This window comes from Homo sapiens, chromosome X (assembly GCF_000001405.40).
Source record: "Homo sapiens chromosome X, GRCh38.p14 Primary Assembly".
NCBI lineage: Eukaryota > Metazoa > Chordata > Mammalia > Primates > Hominidae > Homo > Homo sapiens.
The window spans coordinates 102,821,638-102,842,976 of NC_000023.11; the positions used below are offsets into that span (position 1 = coordinate 102,821,638).

Here is a 21,339-nt window from a genome sequence, read left to right on the forward strand (position 1 = left end):
TCTTAAATTTTTCAGTGCATCAGACCAGTAAATAGGTATTATATTTTTAAGAGAATATATATGATCAGCTTCCATCCTGGGCTGCTACTCTGTTCCCTTATAAGTAATTATTTTTATCAGTTTTTGTTTTAGCCTACTAGTTTAAAGAATATAATAGAATACTATATGGCTGTTAGTTTTCTCTTCTCCTCAGAGGTAAAAGGTGGCATATTCAACCTCAGTCAAGTTTCTAGCAGCTCAGAGGTGTGGAGCATTTGAGATATCCCTTCTAAGGTGAAGGATAAATACTTGCACCTGGCCTCTACTACAACCAAAAAAGAGGTACACCATCTGGTGGGCTTCTTTGGATTTTGGAGGCAACATACTCTTCATCTGGGTGTGTAACTCTGACCCATTTACTGAGTAACACAAAAAGCTACTAGTGTTGAGTAGGGCCTAGAACAAGAGAAGGCTCTGCAACAGGTCCAGGCTGCTGTGCAAGCTGCTATGCCACTTGGGCCATATGATCAAGCAGATCCAATGGTGCTTGAGTTGTCAGTGACAGATAGGGATGCTGTTGGGAACCTTTGGCAGGCCCCCATAGGTGAATGGCAACACAGGCCCTGCCATCTTTCCTAGATAACTACTCTTCTTTTGAGAAACAGCTCTTGGCCTGCTAATGGGCCTTAGTAGAGACTGGAAACAACCAAGTTTTCATGTGACGTGAGCTGCCCACCATGACCTGTGTGTTATCTGACCCACATAGCCATAAAGTTGGGTATGTACAGCAGCACTCACTCCATCATCAAAGGTAAGTAGTATATATGAAATCGAGCTCAAGCAGGTACTGAAGGCATAAGTAAGTTACATGAGGAAGCAGCTCAAATGCCCATGGTCCTCATTTTTGCTACATTCCTTTCTTTCTCCCAGCCTGCACCTATAATCTAAGTTCCCTATGATCAGTTGACAGAGAAAGAGAAGTTTGGTTTACAGATGATTCTGCATGATATGCAAGCACTACTCAAAAGTGGACAACTAACACTACATCCCCTTTCCAGGATGTCCCTGAAGGACAATGGTGAATGGAAACTCTCCCGGTGGGCAGAACTTTGAGCAGTGTACCTGGTTGATCACTTTGCTTGGACAAATGGCTGGACCTGCCATTTCTATATATACTGATTCATGGACTGTGGACAATAGTTTGGCTGCATGATCAGGAACTTGGAAAAAAACATGATTGGAAAATTGGTGACAAAGAAATTTGGGGAAGAAGTACTTGGATAGACCAACACTTACACATTGGGAATCAAGTTTTCAACACATAAACTTTAGTGGACACATTCATACTGCAGCATTCTGCCCCCGGCTCATAAAATTCATCTCCTTCTCACATGCAAAATATTCTGACTCCATCCCAGTAGCCCCAATGTCTTTACTTGTGCTGGCACCAGCTCAAAAGTCCAAAGTCTCATCCAAATCAAATATGGATGAGACTCAAGGCATGATTTATTCTGAGGCAAATTCCCTCAAGCTGTGAGCCTATAAAATCAAAACAAGTTACCTACTTCCAAAATGCAACAGTGAGACAGGCATAGGATAGATATTCTAATTCCAAAAGGGAAAAATAGGCAAGAAAAGAGGAGTAACGGGTCCCAAGTAAGTGCAAAACTGAACAGGGCAAACAACATTAAATCTCAAAGCTGGAGAATAATCTTTCTTGACCCCATGTCCCACCTTCTGAGCACAATGGGGTATGGGTTAAGCCCCCAAGGCCTCAAGAAGCCCCACCCCTATGGCTTTGCTGGGCATGGCCCTTGCAGCAGCTCTCATGGGTTGGAGTCTCCTGCCTGCAGCTCTTCCAGGCTGGAGCTGCACACTGATAGGTTTACAGGTTCATGGTCTCAGTGGCAACCCTATGCCTGTGACTCAACTAGGCATTACCCTAATGAGAACTCTATAGTGCCTCTGCCCCTGCAGTAGGTTTCTGCCTGGGTCACAGGGATGTCTGATACATCCTTTAAAATCTAGGTGAAGGAAGCAGTGCCCCCACAGCTCTTGCATTCTGCTCACTTACAGAATTAGCACCATGTGGGAACCAGCAATGCTTACAATTTGCACCCTTCATAGGAGCAGTTAGGTCCACTTGAGATACAGCTGGGGCTGCCAGGCAGCACTGTACTAGAATGCAGGGATCACAGTCCCAAGACAGCTCTGAGCAGTGAGCCCATGAGGGACACCCCAGGCCTGTCCCTTGAAATCATTCTGCCCTCCTAGATCTCTGGACTTGTAGGAAAGGGGCAACTTTGAATATCTCTGAAATGCCTTCAGAGTCTTTCTGCAATGCATTGTCCTGCTGAACAGCACCCGGCTTCCTTCTTTCCATGCTAATCCCATTATCGGAGAGTTGCTTGGCTGCACCCTTGCATGCTTTTTCATTCTTTATATGACACGAATGTGAATTTTCCAAATATTTATGTTGTGATTCCCTTTTTTTTTTTTTTTTTTTTTTGAGATGAAGTTTCGTTCTTGTTGCCCAGACTGGAGCGCCATGGCGCGATCTCGGCTCACTGCAACCTCCATCTCCTATGTTCAAGCAATTCTTCTGCCTCAGCCTCCCAAGTAGCTGGGATTACAGGCGCCCACCACCATGCCTGGCTAATTTTTGTATATTTAGTAAAGATGGGGTTTCACCGTGTTGACCAGGCTGGTCTTGAACTTCTGACCTCAGGTGATCCACCCGCCTTGGCCTCCCAAAGTGCTGGGATTACAGGCATGAGCCACCACGCCCGGCCCTCTGATTCCTTTTTAATTATAAATTACAAATTCTGTCTTTAAATCATTTCTCTTTTCTTACATCTTACTGTATGCAGTTACAGATGCCACACGGTTCCTCCAATACTTTGCTTAGAAATTTCTTCTGCCAGATACTTTAGTTCATCACTCTTAAATTCTGTCTTCCATAAAGCCCTTGGGCATCAAAACAATTCAGTCAAGTTCTTTGCCAATTTATAACAAGAATTGCCTCTATGCCAGTTTCCAATAATATATTCCTAATTTACATCCAAGACCTGGTGAGAATGGCCTTTACTGTCCATATTTCTATCAACGTTCTGATCACAATCACTTAGGTAATCTCTAAGAAGATTCAGACTTTTCTTACAGCCATACTCTTCTTCTGAGCCCTCACCAGAATTGCCCTTAATGCTCTATTCATGGCAATGTAGGCCTTTGCTAGCTGGTTCCTCCAAACTCTTCCAGGCCCTATTACCCAGTTCCAAAGCCACTTTCACATTTTCAGTTATTTGTTGTTTCAAAACCCCACTTCTTTGGTACACATTTTCCTAATCCATTTTTGTGCTGCTAGAACAATGTCACAGACTGTATAATTTGTAATGAACAGAAATTATTGGCTCACAGTTCTGGAGGTTGGGAAGTCCAAGATCGAGGGGCTGGCATCTGATGAGGTCTTCTTGTTTTATCATCTCGTGGCAGAAGAGCAAAGAGAGGAGGAGAGACAGCAAGAGGGGGAAGAAACTTGTCCTTTTATGAAGAACCTACTCCCATAATAATGGCATTAATCTGTTTATGGGTGCAGAATCACCATGACCCTAGACATCTTAAAGGTCCCACCTTCCAACACAAAGAGGTTGTACCAATTTATATTGGGAATCAGGTTTCCAACAAATGAACTTTGGAAGACACATTCAAACTATACCATTGTGGATACCAATTAGAAGAAAGTCACTAACTCCAGCTCACACACAATGAGACAGATTATACAAAGGAGTAAATAACAAGAAACAAAAATCATTGGGTGCATACTTAGATTCTACTTACGACAGCATCACTAGGCCATTTCTCCGTACTGATTACTGGGAATGTTTCCTATGTCATGATAATTAGACTCATATAATTTAATACTATAATCTAATTTAATATTACAATTTTATAATGTAATTTTAATATAATATATTTAATATATTAAAATTAATTATATTTAGTTAAATATTTAATAATTTGATATCATATATCATATAATTTAGTATTACAGTTTTAAAGTATTATAGTTCATTATATAAATAAATTAAGCAATACCCTGGGCAGTATTGCATGTGAGCACTGAGAGAGATTAGAGCATTCAAATTCCTGGTGGCTTCAGGACACAATGCCTTAATGAAATTTCAGTTTCTATTACTGAGCAGGCATTACAAAGCAATTTGTCTGATTTATGTAACTGTTCCTAAATTCCCATAATTTAATCTAAATTATACATTAAATAATAGGCTACTTGAATAAGTGTTAAGATGAAAAGAGATGCAAATTAGAGCATTTCTTGCTTATGCTAGTTTTGTCAACATTAATTTTCTACCCTCCAGGTAATCTGTTCCAGAAGAAACATGTGTCGTTCTGACTGAGCCCCTGCCTGTCTGTCACCTTAAGAGCCAGTCAATTCATATGGTCCCCATATCAAAGTCTCCTGTGCCCAGAGAGAGGATTTCATTTCAACCATCACCATCACCACCATCATCATCATCACCAAGAGATGTTGTTGAGTGAGCATCTGGGGAGGAGAGTAAAGTGATCAGTTCCAAAGCCCTGGTGGCCAGTTATCTACATAAGAAGTCACTGGGCATAGGCAGTGTTTCTCTCCCCTTCTTTCATTCTTGTCCCTGTTTTGGAGGACTTTTAGACATGTTCTTCCTCACACATCCTTTCTGCCAAGAATGTAAAATTTTAATACCACACGTAAAGTGGTAACTGTTTATGTACTGTGGTACTTTGCAGGACCACAAACCATTGTAATGTCTCCCATCCTCCTTACCATCCAGAGCCAATTTTCAGCCCCTTGGGCATAATGTCGCCTCTGTTGACAATGCATGAAATACTGTGATGACAGCAAAGGCTGGACCACATTCCTGCCCCTTACTTGATGTGTGATGCTGAAATCCTTTCTTACCCTCTGTCAGCTTGCCCTTAGTTATCTGTAAAAGGAGACTTACTACGTCTTCCTTACATAACTAGTCTATGGTGTAAATAAGAAATCCTGTACAGCATATATGTCACCTAGTAGGACATCAACAAATGCTTATACTGACCCACTTTTCACCTCCCTCCTAGAGAAGTGATGACTGTTACCTAAGCCAAACAGCACAATTGCCATAGAGTCTACCTGGAAACATACCAAGCAGTAAGAAGTTAAACCTACTCACATTTGCATTATGAATGAAGCTTTGGGAACCATTCCAGTGTTGCAGGAGGGCTTTGCTGAGGGATCAGGGAAAAGGGAAGGAGATAATTAAAACATTTCCTTTAATCCCCTGTCATTTTCTGCCCCCTTGTTTGATCTTCTAGATTGATACTGGAAAAGCAGTTTCTATTGAGCCCCCAAATGAAGAGTGAGTGCAGATGAAGAGGAGGCAGGACTCACAAGCCCTTGAACTTTATTCCAGATCTGTTAGCACCTACAGGACCCTGCACCAGGATTTCATCTGTACTATCAGCTTCTTCAAAGAGAGAGAGGTTGTTGAGTGAGTACCCACAAGGGCACAGTACTAAAAACATGTAAAATTACAAGTGTTTAAGTCCTAAAAGGTTAAGATCTATAAAGAAGATACCTGGGTGTCCTTTCGGGAGGGTGAGAGTTAGAATGCCATTTCTGTTCCTTAGTAGATGAGTCTGCAAAATTGATTTTACATCAGCAAGTTTAATATAGTCAACTTCAAAATGGGAATAATGATGATTTCTCCACAAAGTTATGAGAGAATCATGCAAAATATACAACTACATGCTTTTAGCTATAAATATATAAATGACATCATAGAGTAAGTGCTCTTTTGAAAATTTTCATTCTCTGAAAATAGTATTACTTAGCTATATCTAATAAGGTGATTTGAGATTCCTTTAAATATGACTAGCCATGCTATCTTGGCCATCTTACATATATGCTGTCCAGACCTAAGAGTACAGTGGGTGACAGGTGCCTTGCTTTCTTCTCTCACAGATGTTGCCAAATGTCTCTGCAAAGAGGTTGTACCAATTTGTCCTCCCTAGGCCATGTATGGAATTATCATGGCCCTGCATTTTCCATTTAATGAGGATACAGCATAAACACCAACTCACTGATTGAGTTTACTTTTCTTTTCTTTTCTTTTTTATTATACTTTAAGTTTTAGGGTACATATGCACAACGTGCAGGTTAGTTACATATGTATACATGTGTCATGTTGGTGTGCTGTACCCATTAACTCATCATTTAACATTAAGTATATCTCCTAATGCTATCCCTCCCCCCAGCCCACAACAGGCCCCAGTGTGTGATGTTCCCCTTCCTGTGTCCATGTGTTCTCATTGTTCAATTCCCACCTATGAGTGAGAACATGCAGTGTTTGGTTTTTTGTCCTTGCGCTAGTTTGCTGAGAATGATGGTTTCCAGCTTCATCCATGTCCCTACAAAGGACATGAACTCATCATTTTTTATGGCTGCATAGTAATCCATGGTGTATATGTGCCACATTTTCTTAATCCAGTCTATCATTGTTGGACATTTGGGTTGGCTCCAAGTCTTTGCTATTGTGTGAATAGTGCTGCAATAAACATACGTGTGCATGTGTCTTTATAGCAGCATGATTTATAATCCTTTGGGTATATACCCAGTAATGGGATGGCTGGGTCAAATGGTATTTCTAGTTCTAGATCCCTGAGGCATCGCCACACTGACTTCCACAATGGTTGAACTAGTTTACAGTCCCACCAACAGTGTAAAAGTGTTCCTATTTCTCCACATCCTCTCCAGCACCTGTTGTTTCCTGACTTTTTAATGATCACCATTCTAACTGGTGTGAGATGGTATCTCATTGTGGTTTTGATTTGCATTTCTCTGATGGCCAGTGATGATGAGCATTTTTTCATGTGTCTTTTGGCTGCATAAATGTCTTCTTTTGAGAAGTGTCTGTTCATATCCTTTGCCCACTTTTTGATGGGGTTGTTTGTTTTTTTCTTGTAAATTTGTTTGAGTTCATTGTAGATTCTTATTCCAGGACATATTTAAGACATAAAGTTGGATCATTATGTTTCCATTTGGTAATTTAAATGTGAAATATGCCATTTATAGGAAAATAAAATATGGAAAATGAAAAATAATCTAACATTCCAACAAAAGTATATCACATTAGCAAATATTAATAATATAGTGAAACCCATTATTTGTACAGATCTTGGAAAATGAGTATTCATATCTTGTATTTCATTGTGACAAATTAGCAAAGAGATTTTAAGGTGAATTAGACAAATGTTTAATATTCATGCTTTTTGAGGAAGCAGTCCCACTTGTGGAAACTTATACTCTGGTTAACAGCCTGAGAGGTCCTTGCCATCATCAATCATGTGTCCCTCCTGCTCAGTGCTGAGCTGACCATTTGCCTAATTGGCTTGGTGCCTTAAGGACTCCCTGACCCTGTTCCATCCATCCTTTTATCCAAAGAGAAAAATAGGTCTCATGGCTGGATGCCCAATTTCAATGGACCTTGGGGTTGGATCAAACCCAAGGGTTGATATGGAGCAGTGCTCAGATCCTTACTCCTGGAGGGACAAGTAGATCTCTGGCCTCATCCCTATTTGGGATAAATCTCTCTTCCTCTCCTTTCTCTATGTCCTCAGAGGCCTTCCCTTTCCTACCAGATAACAAGCAGTCCAATCTTTCCCTTAAGTTTAAGTTTCCTAAAGAATGGAAGAAACTGGATTCAGACATCTTTGGCTCCCAACCCTGTCATAAACCTCCCCTAAGGCAAGGGGAAGGAACACCAAGCCTGGTTCCTTGCTGGAAATGCAAGGAGGGTAAACACAGGGAGGACAGACATTAACTTCCTTAACAGTGTGTGTCCAGATACATTTGCTAAAGATCTGCCACCAGCACTTAAGGTGCCCAGGTTGCCAGCTACTATCTCTGGCTCTCTCAGTTTCTGTGGTAATCAAATCCTTTGCCATTCTACTTTGCCCTTGCTCATCTGTAAAAGGGGACTCACAATGCCTTTCTTAGACAAATTTTCTGTGGGGTAAATGAGAAATCCCATACAGAGTAGATGGCACCTAGTAGAACTTCAACGAATGGTCATCCAGGCCCACCTTTTTCCTCCCTCCCAGAGAAGTGATGACTGTTATCTAAACCAAGCAGCATAATTGCCACAGAGACCACCTGGAAGGAGAGCAGGAAGATGGAGCATGTGCTCACACTTACATTATACATGGACCTTTGGGGCCATTTCTGTGTTGCAGGATGGTTTGCTGAGGTATTGGAGTGAGATGAGAAGATCGTCAAACCAATCCCCTATCATTTTCTGCCCCCTCATTTGATCTGCTACGTTGATTTGGAAAAGCAGTTTCTATTGAGCCTCAAATGAAGAGAGAGTGCAGATGAAGAGGAGGCAGGAGTCATAAGCCTTTGACCCTTATACCAGACCCATTACCACCTATAGGACCTTGCACTGGGATTTCATCTGCACGATCAGCTCTTTCAAAGAGAGAGAGGTTGTTGAGTGAGTACCCACAAGGGCATAATCCTGGCAACATAAAAAACTGCAAGTGTTTGGCTGGGCGTGGTGGCTCATGCCTGTAATCCCAGCACTTTGGGAGGCTGAGGCGGGCGGATCACAAGGTCAGGAGATCGAGACCATCCTGGCTAACACAGTGAAACCCCATCTCTACTAAAAATATGAAAATTAGCCAGGTGTGGTGGCGGGCGCCTGTAGTCCCAGTTACTCGGAAGGCTGAGGCAGGAGAATGGCGTGAACCCGGGAGGCAGAGCTTGCAGTGAGCCGAGATTGCGCCACTGCACTCCAGCCTGGGCAACAGAATGAGACTCCGTCTCAAAAAATATACATAAAATAAATAAAAATTAAAAAAAAAACTACAAGTGTTTAAGTCTTAGACGGTCATCCACTATAAAAGGAGACAATGTGTTGTCCTTTGAGGAGAGTGAGAGTTACATCCCTGCTCCTGATCATTACTAGATGCCTCTGCAAAATTGATTTTCCATCAGTGAGTCTTAGTTGGTCATCTGTAAACTGGAAATAATGATGCCTTCCTTATAGACTTGGAGAGAATTATGCAAAATATGTAATTGTACATTTTTGGCTATAAATATTTGTGCTATTGTAGAGTAAGTGCCCTTTTGCACCTTTTTCCCCTCTGAAAATAGTGTTTCTGAGATTAATAACGTGATTTTGGGGCTGTTTAGATATTATGAATCCTGACCATTTTTGTACCATTGCCCAGGCTGCTTGATTCTATCCCTGGCTCCATTAGTTTGTGTGGTGAGCAAACTCTTTGCCATCCAGCTCTGTGCTTAGGAGCAAGTGCGCTGTAGTCATATACATCCATGAAGAGAGCATAATTGTACCTCACTAGTAGGGTTGTCATGAGAATTAAATTCAATCACTAAAGTGAAGAACATGGAGCTGGACCCTCTAAACAATGTGTTCTATCAATATTAGTTGCCTTTCCTCTCTGGATCAGAAAACTAATGTGGCTCCTAACCTGACCCCTCAGGTAGGACTCCTTCACTTGCATGCATGTCAGAATTAGCTTGGAGATCTTTTCTAAACCTTTAGCAGAAACTCACTTGTTGTTGGAAATAAGACTTCTATATCAAAGTCCATTCAAGTGATTAAGCCATAGTAATATGGGCCTCAGAAAGTAGATATTCCATTTGACACCTAAAGTGTTATGTGAAAACTCATTTCCCCTCCATTCCATCTGTTCCAGGTATGACCAGCTTTTGCCTTTACTGCCACTCTGATCGCTCATTTCCTTAGACCTGCCCATTGAAAGAGCTCTCTCAGATAATTGTTAACTTAGAGATTCACAGCTCTTGTTCCTCTGTGGTGTCTCCTGTTTCAAGAGCCCAACATGAAAATATGGCATGCTTCTATGATGTTAACGTGCTGATAAAATGAGAGGACACAAAATAGCTTATTATCTGGAAATAGGATGCTGATTATTATCCCTGACCCCAAATGTCATGAATGAGATGATGAGATGGCAAGTGACTGATGATGCTCTATTCTTCACAAGATGCCATCAGCTGGAGATGGAAGCCCCAGTGTGGGTTCCTGGGGCTGCCTCTACTTCCTTCACTCCCTGAATTATTTTCTGTGGACTAAGATTTGTGCTCCGTTTATGGCTCTGATGGCATTGGTGTGTGCTTTCTGGGAAGTAGGAATGGGGAAGAATGCTAGGGAGGTGTCAGCTGTTAGGGAAGCCCTGAGAGGAGGGGATCCTGATGTAAGAGAGGATTGAAAACCATGGCCCTAAGTCAGGTTAGTCTGGCATGCATGTGATGTCTAATAATAAGGGGGGTGGCACACTTCCCCTCCTAAGAGGCACCTGAATTTCCTGTGAGGGGATGTCCCTGCCATGTTTGTGTGCCTTGGAAACTGACTTCTGACACTGTAAGGACAGCATTAGTGTTGTCAGAAGGCTGGGTGGTGGGGTGAGGGTGGGGGAAGATTGAATCCTCAGAGCAACTTAAAGACCCTACTGACAGAGACAGAACAGCCTGCTCCAGCTGAGAGGAGGGCAGGAGAGATAACTAGGTGGGCAACAGGTGTCTCTTAAAGCAGGAACCATACAGTGGTACATGAAGATCTGGACCATCAACTCTGGCTAAGTGAGATGCTGGCCTGAGATGTTAGAGCACTTTTACATGCTTTCATGAGCTGGAGGTAGAACACAGGCCTGCTGATTCTCAGTTCTGTGCTCTCATGAATTACTGCAAGCTGCCTTTTCAAAGGAAAGGCAGACTTGGTTCTCACCATCTTGGAGACACAGTTTCCTCATCTCAAAAAGGAACTGACACCACTCCTTTTATAGGGCGGTCCTGAAGATGGACTGTTATCCTGTGTGTGCAGAAAACAAACTCCGCAAATATAACCCTATTAAGGAGACCCTGTTAATGAGACAGACCCTGGGGTCATTGGAAAATGGAAGGCTCAGCCAATGGTGCCGTTTGCTCAGAGCACAGAGTACTTGGCACACAGGGCTAGAAAATGTAGGCTGCGTCCATGGTGTGAGGTGTCTCTGGCAGGGAGAGAAGGTGGGTTGCTTTTGAGGATGTTTTGAAGGTATGATTATCTTTATCCACTTTCTTAATGGTGCCAGCATTACCTGGGAGTGCTCTTCCTTCCAGAGACTGTATTTGTCTCTGAGCCTCTGTTGCTATGCAACAGCCTCCTCTGAGCTCAGAGCATGATTCAGCGATACTGGTCAGAGCTGCTGCATCAAGAGTCCTGGAGATGAGATGACAGAGAGGGAGTGGGAAACGGTCTAGGAAGTCTGTACAGGAGTGGAGTCTTGGGGTCTTGAATGGCCTGCTGTCTGGGAGGGGCCATCTCTAGAGCGAAGACATGTCAGCCAACACTGATGAGAGACAGAGCGAGCAAAGGAGATGGATCAGTGAACAAAATATATGGAGTGGACATAAAATGAAGCTTATGCTTAGCCTTTTAATATACATAGGAATTTTCCAAAAAGAATTGGCAACACATTCTCCAAACTGTTTCACGAATGACTCTAAAGAATAACATCTGTTTGGTCATCTAAAAAATTAGGAGCTTTAATTTTTAAGAAAGGAAAACCAAAATGGTGATAGATCCCCTTTGCCCGTAATTACAGCTCTAGAATTCTCAGATGGTGACTCAGCAAGAGTGGTAGGAGGGAGTAGGGACCTAGACTTGATGGTTGTCAGCCAGAGCTTCTGGAATTTTCCACACATTATCAGCAATCTTGTGTATTCATCACTATCTGGGATCTCTAAGCCCCAAGATAGGAAGCCCAGTCCTTTTCTGAGATGGAGAGAAAGCTGTACCTGGGAGTGTGTGTTTGGCGTGATAGAGTTTGAGCCCTAAATACACAAACACATACAATGTTGTTGTGTTTTAGCCATAGACACACACACACACACAAATACACCCACACCTACTATGTCTAGGCAATTATTTCAAACTGCTGCTTCTCCCATGAGCAATATGTTTTGTACATATTCCAAAAACAGTAGGTGTATGTGTACGTGTTTTTGTCAAACCATGTACAATTTAATCTTAAAATTATTACCTCAGTGGTTTTCTCGATTATAACATTTCAAAAAGTAAAGATATGTATTTATAAAATGAAATATATATATATATGGAGAGAGGAAAGAGAAAGTGATAGAAATGATTACTACAGTGAAGCGCATTAACATATCCATCTATTCACATAGCTATCATTTTTTTGTGAACGCACTTGAAACCTACTCTCTTACCAAATTTACAGTGTACATTATATTACTATTAACTGTAGTCATCATGCTGTATATTAGATCTCTAGGCTTATTTATCCTTCATAGCTTCAATTTTATACCTTTGAACAACATCTCCCCTCTTCCCCCCATCTCCACTCCTGGTAATGACAGCTCTATGCTTCTATGAGCTTGACTATTTTAGATTCTACATGTAAGTGAAATCATGCATAATTCTTCTTTCTATGTCTAGCTTATTTTACTTAGCATAATGTCCCCCAGGTTCATTCACGCTATCACAAATAGTAGGGGTCTCCTTTTTAAAGGCCAAAATAATATTCCATTGTGTGTATGTGTGATTATATATATACACACACACATATATACATAAATAATTATACAATGTAATATATATTATATATAATCACACACACGTATATATACGTACATGTATATATATATGAATATATATACATATATGTATATATATAATCACACACATATACGTACATACATATACATATATATTTATAATACAATATTCCATTGTATATATAAAGTCCTTGATATAAAATGGGGTGGTATTTCTATATAACCTATGCACGTCCTCCCATATACTTTAAATCATCTCTAGATTACTTATGATACCTAATACAATGTAAGTGCTATATAAATGTTGTTATACAAATTGGTTTTAAAATTTGTATTTTATTGTTGTATTGTTTTTATTTTCTTTTCAGAATATTTTCAGTCCAAGATTGGTTGCATTCATGTATGCAGAATCCACAGATACAAAAGGTCAACTGTACTTATTTATTTAATTCTCACCACAACCTATGAGAAGGATCTATTGTTGCCTGACTTTAGAAAAAAGGAAACTGAGGTACAGTGAAGACAGAGTTAGCAAGTGCCAAGGCTTAGATGTGAACACAGGCTGTGTGGCTCCTGAGTAAATTCATCTATCCAGTGTGTGCTGCTGCCTCTCAAATGATGAGAAAAATCTTGCTTTTTCAGGCCGGGCACAGTGGCTCACGCCTGTAATCCCAGTTACAGGGATCACCTCGTGATCTCAGTGATAGATAACACCAGGTAAGCAAAGTGTGGAGTTTGCCTAATGGCTCCTGGACTGTTTGGTATATTAATATATTACAGGAAAGCTGGGCACAGTGGCTCACGCCTGTAATCCCAGCACATTGGGAGGCCTAGGCGGGCGGAACACTTGAGGTCAGGAGTTTGAGACCAGCCTGCCAACATGGCAAAACCCTGTCTCTACTGAAAATATAAAAAGTAGCCAGGCATGGTGACGCACGCCTGTAATCCCAGCTGCTTCTCAGGTGCTGAGGCAGGAGAATTGCTTGAACCTGGGAGGCGGAGGTTGCAGTGAGCCAAGATTGCACCACTGCACTCCAGCCTGGGCAACAGAGCAATACTCCATCTAAAAAAAAAGAAGAAGAAAAATCTTACTTTTTCATCACGGCACAACACAATAAAACAGTGGGTTAAATTGTGTCCCCTCTGATTGGAAATGTGTATATTAAAGCATTTCCATTTGCTCTTGACCCCAAATCTACCTCGCATTTATAGATTTATCTCTTACCTCATCAGTAAAGTTTAGGTTGGGGTGTTCACAGTGTAGAGGAGTCCCTCCCAGAGAGCAGAGTGGTTATCCTTCATTACCCCAACCTGTACAGGCTTTTCAGACCTTCGCCTACCCCTCTTAGTCTCCAGGATACTGTGAACATAGCAGCCCAGACCCCATTCCGCTGCCCCTCTCCTCTGTCAGTCACCTCCTGCTGGCCCTGCCCCACGTTATGCCTTCCAGCCAGTGACTATCAAGGGGCAGTAGAGCTACCTGGTGTTCCATCATATGGATGCCCCAGAGTATGTTGTTGTTGTTGTTGTTGTTTTACAGTCCTCTTGCACTTTTAAGTTTTTTTCAGGCAGAATTTGAATCATTCGAATGGTTCCATAAAGGTTAATAAGCTAGGTTTTTAGGAAGGTATTGTATTTTTTGGTTTTTGTATACACTTCTTTGCAAAAAAGTTTGATAGTGGAGGTGCATTGGTGCCACCTTGTAACAGAAGCCTGAACTGCAGCCTGAACTGCAGCCTGAACTAGTGTAAGCTGGAAGGTGAAAGGGAGGGACTGTGGTCCAAACTTACAAGATAGAACTTTCTGGAAGTCTGGGCGTAAAAGGTGGCATACACAGGCAAAAAAAGATACTGAAGGCCTCTAAGCAGGAAGTACAGGTTTTTAGTATGTTAAAGAGAAAGAGGTATGTGAGAGGAACTAAAAGATCATTTTAATGTTTATGTGTTGAGACTTGTGGTTAAATAGCTAGAAGCCTATATAAGCAAAAATGGGATCAGACCATTTATGATTTTTGTAATCCACTTTCACTGTTATTGTGATTACCTTTCTGTGTAAATATATTTTTATGATAACATTTGAAATAACTACAACAAAATTTTAGTGTCATTTTTTTAGTGGCCTGGGTATCATCTCATCATGTGGATGCCCTAAAATTTATTTAATTGGTATCCTAATTACAAAAATTTAGTTCCCTTACTATTTTTTTCTATTACAAACAATAGTATACTTAACACTATGCTCATATAGATGCAAATGTCTTTGTGAGCATTTATTTATAAGTTCCTGAAAATGTCATTTCAAAATCCTTTGAACTATAATATTCTTCAAAATACTATTACTAATTTATATTCCTTATATCACAGTATGAAAATGCCTGTTTTTCCACACATTAAAAATAATGTGAATCATTAATCTTGTCTGCAAGAAATCATTTTTTCATGATTATTTTTATTATAATTTGTTTTTGCTACCTTCTAGAATTCCATCCTATGGATGTGATATTATCAGTTTTACAACTCTATGTTATTCAGAGTATTCTGATAGTTCCTATTACTCACATTCTGTGGATGAAATCTTTTCAAAGTCTGTGCACTACAAAAGGGCACAGTTCCCATAGCTGTTTGTACTGGTGAGCAGAATGTGTTCCTCCTAGGAGAATTCTGGTATTGTGATAACAGAACATGATTATTGTATAAGAGAGAGTTCGTGTGTGCTGACAACTACGTTTCTCTCTTCCTTCTGCCCCTTTATGGCCTTAGGTTTCATTTGGTCTCTAAATTCAGGCTCTGCAGTGAAGGAAGGGAATTATCAGGATGACAGGCCTTAACACTGGATCCCCATCAACATCTTCCACTATGTCCCGAAGATAAACTTCTAAAAGAGAATTGTTGGTGCAAAAGGTGTATACCTACGTAACCCTTTGCTAGGTATTGCCATACTGACACCCATAAAGGTAGTTCCGTTTAGGCTTCCCAAGTGGAGTCATGTGGCTGCAGAGGAATGAAGAAACTAGTAATGTTGACATCTAGTCACACAAGGCAGGCACTGGACTTTGTCATGGATCAACTCTCAAGCCACTACCATAATTGGAGGATGTGGAAGTGATCAGAAGTTACCAATTTTGCACACAAGCAAAACCCAAGGTAGCATGAGGGGAAAGGGCACAGTCATTGCTTGGAGGAACACAGGAAAGAGTTAGCAGATTGGGATATAGCAACAGTTGTATACATTCACGTTTATATGAAGCAGGTACGTCAAATCAATGTCAGAAGACCAGATCAATATCATATTTTTTAACAGCTTTCTTGCAGCTAAACCTACAGACAATATAATTTACGCATTTAAAGGGCATAATTTGATGAATTTTATTAAATGTATAGCATTGTTCAACCATCCCATAACTAAGTTTTAGACATTTCCATCACTCCAAAAAGTCTCATCATGCTTGAATGCAATTAATCCTTGCTCCCACCCCAAGCCTCAAACCACAGATATGCTTGGTGTCTCTGTGGATTTCTTTACTCCAGAAATTTCATGTAAATGCAATTATATAATATTTGGTCTTTTGCATATATCTACTTTCACTTCACATATGTTTTGAAGGTTCATCTATATTATGGCATATCCATACTTCATTCCTTTTATTGGCAAAGAATAATCGTAATATATCACATTTTAAACACATTAATCAATTAGTGGACATTTGGGTTGCTGCCAGTTTTGGGCTATTGCAAATAAGGTTGCTATGTACATTTGTGTACAAGTTTTTATGTAGATAAATGTGTTGATCTTGGGTGTGTACCTAGGAATGGAATTGCTGGGTCATATGATAACTCTATCCATGTGAGGAACTGCCAGATGATTTTCATGACTGATTGTCTTGAGAAATACAGACTTAGTTTTTCTTGTGATTAGACTAGTGTTAAAGGTTTTGAGAAAGAATGCCACAGAGTTGAAGTGCCCTTCTTGTCACATCATATCTGGGTTTACATAATGCCCACATGAAGTCACTGGTGATAATGTTTCATCACTTGGTGAAAGTGGTGTCTGTCAAGTTTCTAATAACCATTTTTCATTCCCTACTCTGTTCTTTAGGAGAAAGTCACAAAATCAGCCCTACCCTCAGCAAGTGGGGTGCAAAATTAAGCTTGACCTCAGGGAGAGCAGATAGCTACATATTTCACTTAGAATTATTTGAAAAAGACAATTTTCCTTCTCTCACCTATTTCTTTATTAATTCAAACTTTTGTTTATATTGGTATGGATTCATGTATACCTATGTTAAATGCTGGGATATTTTATTGAACAAATGCATCACAATAGAAACTCCAACATCTTGGTATCTGTGGTGCAGACTGGAACATGAGTGCCAGGGAGATTGGAGCACTCAGATTCCTGGCAGCCTCAGGGCACAAAGCTTTAATGAAACTCCAGGTTCTATTACCGAGCAGGCATTAACAACATAGTTCCCCTGATTTACTTAACCTCTCCTAACTTCCTATAACCTGACCTAAACTATGGATTTCACAATAGGTTACCTGGATGAAGGTGAAGGTTAAAGGATATACAACTTAGAGTATGATATGATTACAATTTTAAAAACATTAATATCATCTCTCCCAGAAGAAATACCTGTTGTCTGACTGAGCCCCTGTCTGCCATCTTAAAAGACAGTCAGTTCACATGGTTCCCATACACAGGTCTCTTGGCCCTAGGGGCAGGATTTCATCATTATCCTCATCATCACCAAGAGGGGTTGTTGAGTGAGCATCCATGAGGGATTGTAAAGTGACTAGTCCCTAAGCCTTGGTGGCTCATCATCCGCAGAAGTCCCCGAGTACATGCAATGTTTCTTAACTTTCTTTCATTATTTATGATCCAAAGGAGGCTTTTTAGACATTCATTTTTTTTCTCGTTAGCTCCTTCCTGCCTGGAACATGAAATTTTAATAGCACAGATATAGTGTTAACTGTTTGTGTGCTGTGTGGTTCATTGTAGTGCCACAAACCATTGTAACGTCTACCATCTCCCCACCCTCCAGAATCAATTTTCAGCCCCTTGGGGACAATATCTCCTTTATTGAGAATGCATGGACATTGTGATGATGGCAAAAGCTGTAACTTCATTCCTGTCCCTTACTTGATGTATGACACTGGAATCCTTTCTTAGCCTCTGTCAGCCTGTTCTTGGTCATCTGTAAAAGGAACTCACAATGCCTTCCTCACAGAACTGTTCTGTGGGGTAAATTGGAAATCCTGTACAGAGTAGATGGCACCTAGTAGGACTTCAACAAATGTTTGTCCTGGCCCACCTTTTCCTTCCCTCTCAGAGAAATGATGACTGTCACCTAATCCAACCAGCATAACTGCCACAAAGACCACCAGGAAATGGAGCAGGAAGTAGAACATTGTGAATGAAGCACTGGGGCCATTTCTGTGTTGCAGGAGAACTTTGCTGAAGGATTGAGGGAGACTGAAGAAGCTCATTGAACCATTTTCTTTAATTCCTTGTCATTTTCTCCTCCCTTGTTTGATCTTCTAGATTGATATTGGAAAAGCAGTTTCCCATTGAGTCTCAAATGAAGAGAGTGCAGATGAAGAGGAGGTAGGAGTCACAAGCCCTTGACCCTCATGCTAGACCCATTACCACCCACAGGACCTTGCAGTGGGATTTCATCTGCACCATCAGCTTCTTCAGAGAGAGAGGTTGTTGAGTGAGTACGCATAAGGGCATAATCCTAGCAACATAAAAAAACGACAAGTGTTTAAGTCCTAGATGGTCATCATCTCTAAAAGGAGATCATATGTTGTCCTTTGAGGAGAGTAAGAGTTACATCCCCACTCCTGATCATTACTAGATGCCTCTGCAAAATTGATTTTCCATCAGTGAGTCTGAGTTGGTAATCTGTAAACTGGAAATAATGATGCCTTCCTCACAGACTTCTTGTGAGAGAATTACACAAGGCATACAATTGTTTCCATACTTTTAGCTAAGTTAGTGCTGTTATCCAGCTTTTCATCCTCTGAAGATAATGTTTCTGAGATTTCTCTAATAAGATGACTTTGGGATTGTTTTGATATGACTAGACATGTTGTTGTGACCATGCTTGTATACCTTTTCTGGTGCAACATGTGTGTTTCTCTCTATAGTCCGTGATTAAGAGAGTAGCATCTGATGGGGGCCTCATTTTGTTTTCTCATAGATGTTGACAAATGTCTCTGCAAAGACATTGTACCAATTTGTTCTTCCCCATTAGTGTATGAAGTTCTTTTCACCTACATTTTCCATTTAAATGGGATGTAGTGTAAACACACACTATCAGTCATCAGGGTTTATTTCTAAACTCAATAATTATTCTATGATATATTCTGAGGCATAAATGTAAACTATGTCATTTATTTAAAAATGTGATAAAAAAATGAAAAGGAATCTAACATTATAACGCCAGGATATCAGATCAGCAGCAAATATTTAAAAAGTCTTATGAAACTTATTTGTTCAAATCTGTAAAAGCAGGTGCTCTCTTCTCATAGTTGGTTGGGATACATATTAATAAAAGGATTGTACAGTTCAATTAGACAGTACAGCAATGTTAAATTTTCATGCTTTTTGAGGAAACAGTTACACTTGTGGGAATTTAGCCTCCTGATATAGCAGGAAGAGCTCTGGCAGTCATCACTCATCTGTCCACATGACTCAGGAAGCTGCCCATTTTCTTTGCTGACTCAGAGCCTTCAAGTCCCCTCTTCCTGAGGCACTGTTTTACAATGTAGGTTTTATTATTTAGGATAGTGAGGCCAAGGGATCAGGAGACAACTGCCATTAAGGAGATAGTTTATTACTCAAAGTTCCCAAGAGGGGGCGCTCTCCATTCCACATAAGTCCACTCAGAGTCCACCAATTTAGGCAGGAGGTAAACGTGGCAAAAGCCTTTATTGTGGTTTTCCGTGGTAAATGACAGACAAGGCAGGATAATTAGGCTTAGGACTGACTACTCGGAATAATTTCAGTAGGTTCTGTGGTGCAGGGGCTGTCCTAAGTTGTCTGGAATTGTTACTGGAAAGAGGTTCTGATCCAGACCCCAAGAGAAGGTTGTTGGATCTCACTCAGGAAAGAATTTGGGGCAGGTCCATAGAGTAAAGTGAAAGCAAGTTTATTTAGAAAGTAAAAGAATAAAAAAATGGCTACTCCATAGGTAGAGCAGCCCCGAGGGCTGCTGGTTGCCCATTTTTATGGATATTTCTTGATTATATGCTAAACATGGGGGTGGATTATTCATGAGTTTTCCGGGAAAGGTGTGGGCAGTTCCCAGAACTGAAGGTTTCTCCTCATTTTATACCATATAGGGTAACTTCCTGATGTTGTCATGGCATTTGTAAACTGTCTTGATGCTTGTGGGAGTGTCTTTTAGCATGCTAATGCATTATAATAGCAGTGTGGACAACCAGAGGTCACTTTCATAGCCATTTTGGTTTCGTTGGGTTTTAGCTGGCTTCTTTACTGCAACCCGTTTTATCAGCAAAGTCTTTATGACCTCCTATCTCATCCTGTGACTAAGAATGCCTTGACCTTCTGGGAATACAGCCCAGTAGGTCTCAACCTTATTTTACTTAGCCCCTATTCAAAATAGAGTTTCTCTGGTTCAAATGCCTCTGACAGAATCAGGTTCTGGTATGATTAGGGGAGGGTACTATTGGCCTGGAGTATAAGAGCCCAGTAGAGGAGGTGTGAGTGTGTATGTGTAGGTGCTCTGTATTAGTTAGTTTGAATATAAAAGGTGTGCTCCTTAGGTGAGTTCTTTGTTAGGACTAGGAATTAGCTGACCCTGGACAGAGTAGTCCCTCCCCAGTTAGCAAGGCCTCAGATGCCAGAGCATCAAACATACAAGAAATAAGAAAAAAATGCTACCACTGTTATCTATCCTTTGATCCAAACAGAAAAATCTGTCTCACGTTGAATACCCACTCTAGGTGGACCATCCAGGAGCCACTCCAAGCTTTGATATGGAGCAGTTCTCAGGTTCCTACTCCTAGAGGGACCTGTAGACCTCTGACATCATTCCTGTCTGGGAGAAATCTCTCTTCCTCTCCCTTCTCTGTGTCCTCAGAGGTCCTCCCTTTCCTACAAGATAATAAGCAGCCCAATCCTTTCCTTAAGTTTTCATAAAAGATGGAAGAAATACTGGCTTCATGTCTGAAGCTTCTGCTTCTAGCTCTGCCACAAACCATTCCTGAAGCAAGGGGAAGGGGCACCAAACTTGGATCCTTGCTGGAAATGCCACCAGCACCTCAGGGTGCCCACATTGACAGATTCTATTCCTGGCTCTAGCAGTAGGCCTGGTGAGCAATGTCTTTGCCATCCTTCTCTGGTAAGGAATATGTGCTTTGTAGTCACATCCGTCTGTGGAGAGAGAATAGCAACACCTCACTAGCAGGGCTGTTATGTGGGTTAATTCCAACTACTAACGCGAAGAATGTAGCACTAGGCTTGGCTAAAAATCGGCTTCATAAATATTAGCTATCTTTCCTCTTTGTGGCCAAAAGTTCATATGACTCCTAACCTGCCCCCTCACCCAAGCTTCCTTAACCAAATTGCAGGTCAAAATCACTTTGGGATCCCTTTCTAAACCCTCATTTGAAACTCTTTTGTTGGTGAAATAGGACTTCTGTATTGAAGGCCATTCAAGTTATGAAGTTGTAATAATGTGGACCTCAAAA

At 40.9% G+C, this 21,339-nt stretch overlaps 1 protein-coding gene and 1 long non-coding RNA gene across 9 annotated transcripts in view; both read left to right on the top strand.

The window, feature by feature from the left end:
* ARMCX5-GPRASP2 (ARMCX5-GPRASP2 readthrough) overlaps positions 1 to 21,339 on the top strand; it is a 308,717-nt gene that overhangs the window by 222,290 nt on the left and 65,088 nt on the right. Inside the window, exons 7-10 of one of the 2 annotated variants that reach the window (NR_146587.2) lie at positions 5,332 to 5,507; positions 12,991 to 13,133; positions 13,265 to 13,339; positions 18,164 to 18,226. The gene's annotated coding sequence lies outside the window, so the exon portion shown is untranslated. Of the gene's footprint in view, positions 1 to 4,355; positions 4,533 to 5,331; positions 5,508 to 12,990; positions 13,134 to 13,264; positions 13,340 to 18,163; positions 18,336 to 21,339 lie in introns of both variants that reach the window. The other variant, NR_146584.3, reaches the window with a different exon arrangement.
* LINC00630 (long intergenic non-protein coding RNA 630) overlaps positions 1 to 21,339 on the top strand; it is a 195,371-nt gene that overhangs the window by 52,485 nt on the left and 121,547 nt on the right. For 3 of the 7 annotated variants that reach the window (NR_146591.1, NR_146592.1, NR_146588.1), the window contains 2 exons: positions 5,332 to 5,507; positions 18,164 to 18,335. This is a non-coding gene — a long non-coding RNA (long intergenic non-protein coding RNA 630). Of the gene's footprint in view, positions 1 to 5,331; positions 5,508 to 12,990; positions 13,340 to 18,163; positions 18,336 to 21,339 lie in introns of all 7 variants that reach the window. The other 4 variants (NR_146589.1, NR_146593.1, NR_146590.1 and 1 more) reach the window with 3 other exon arrangements.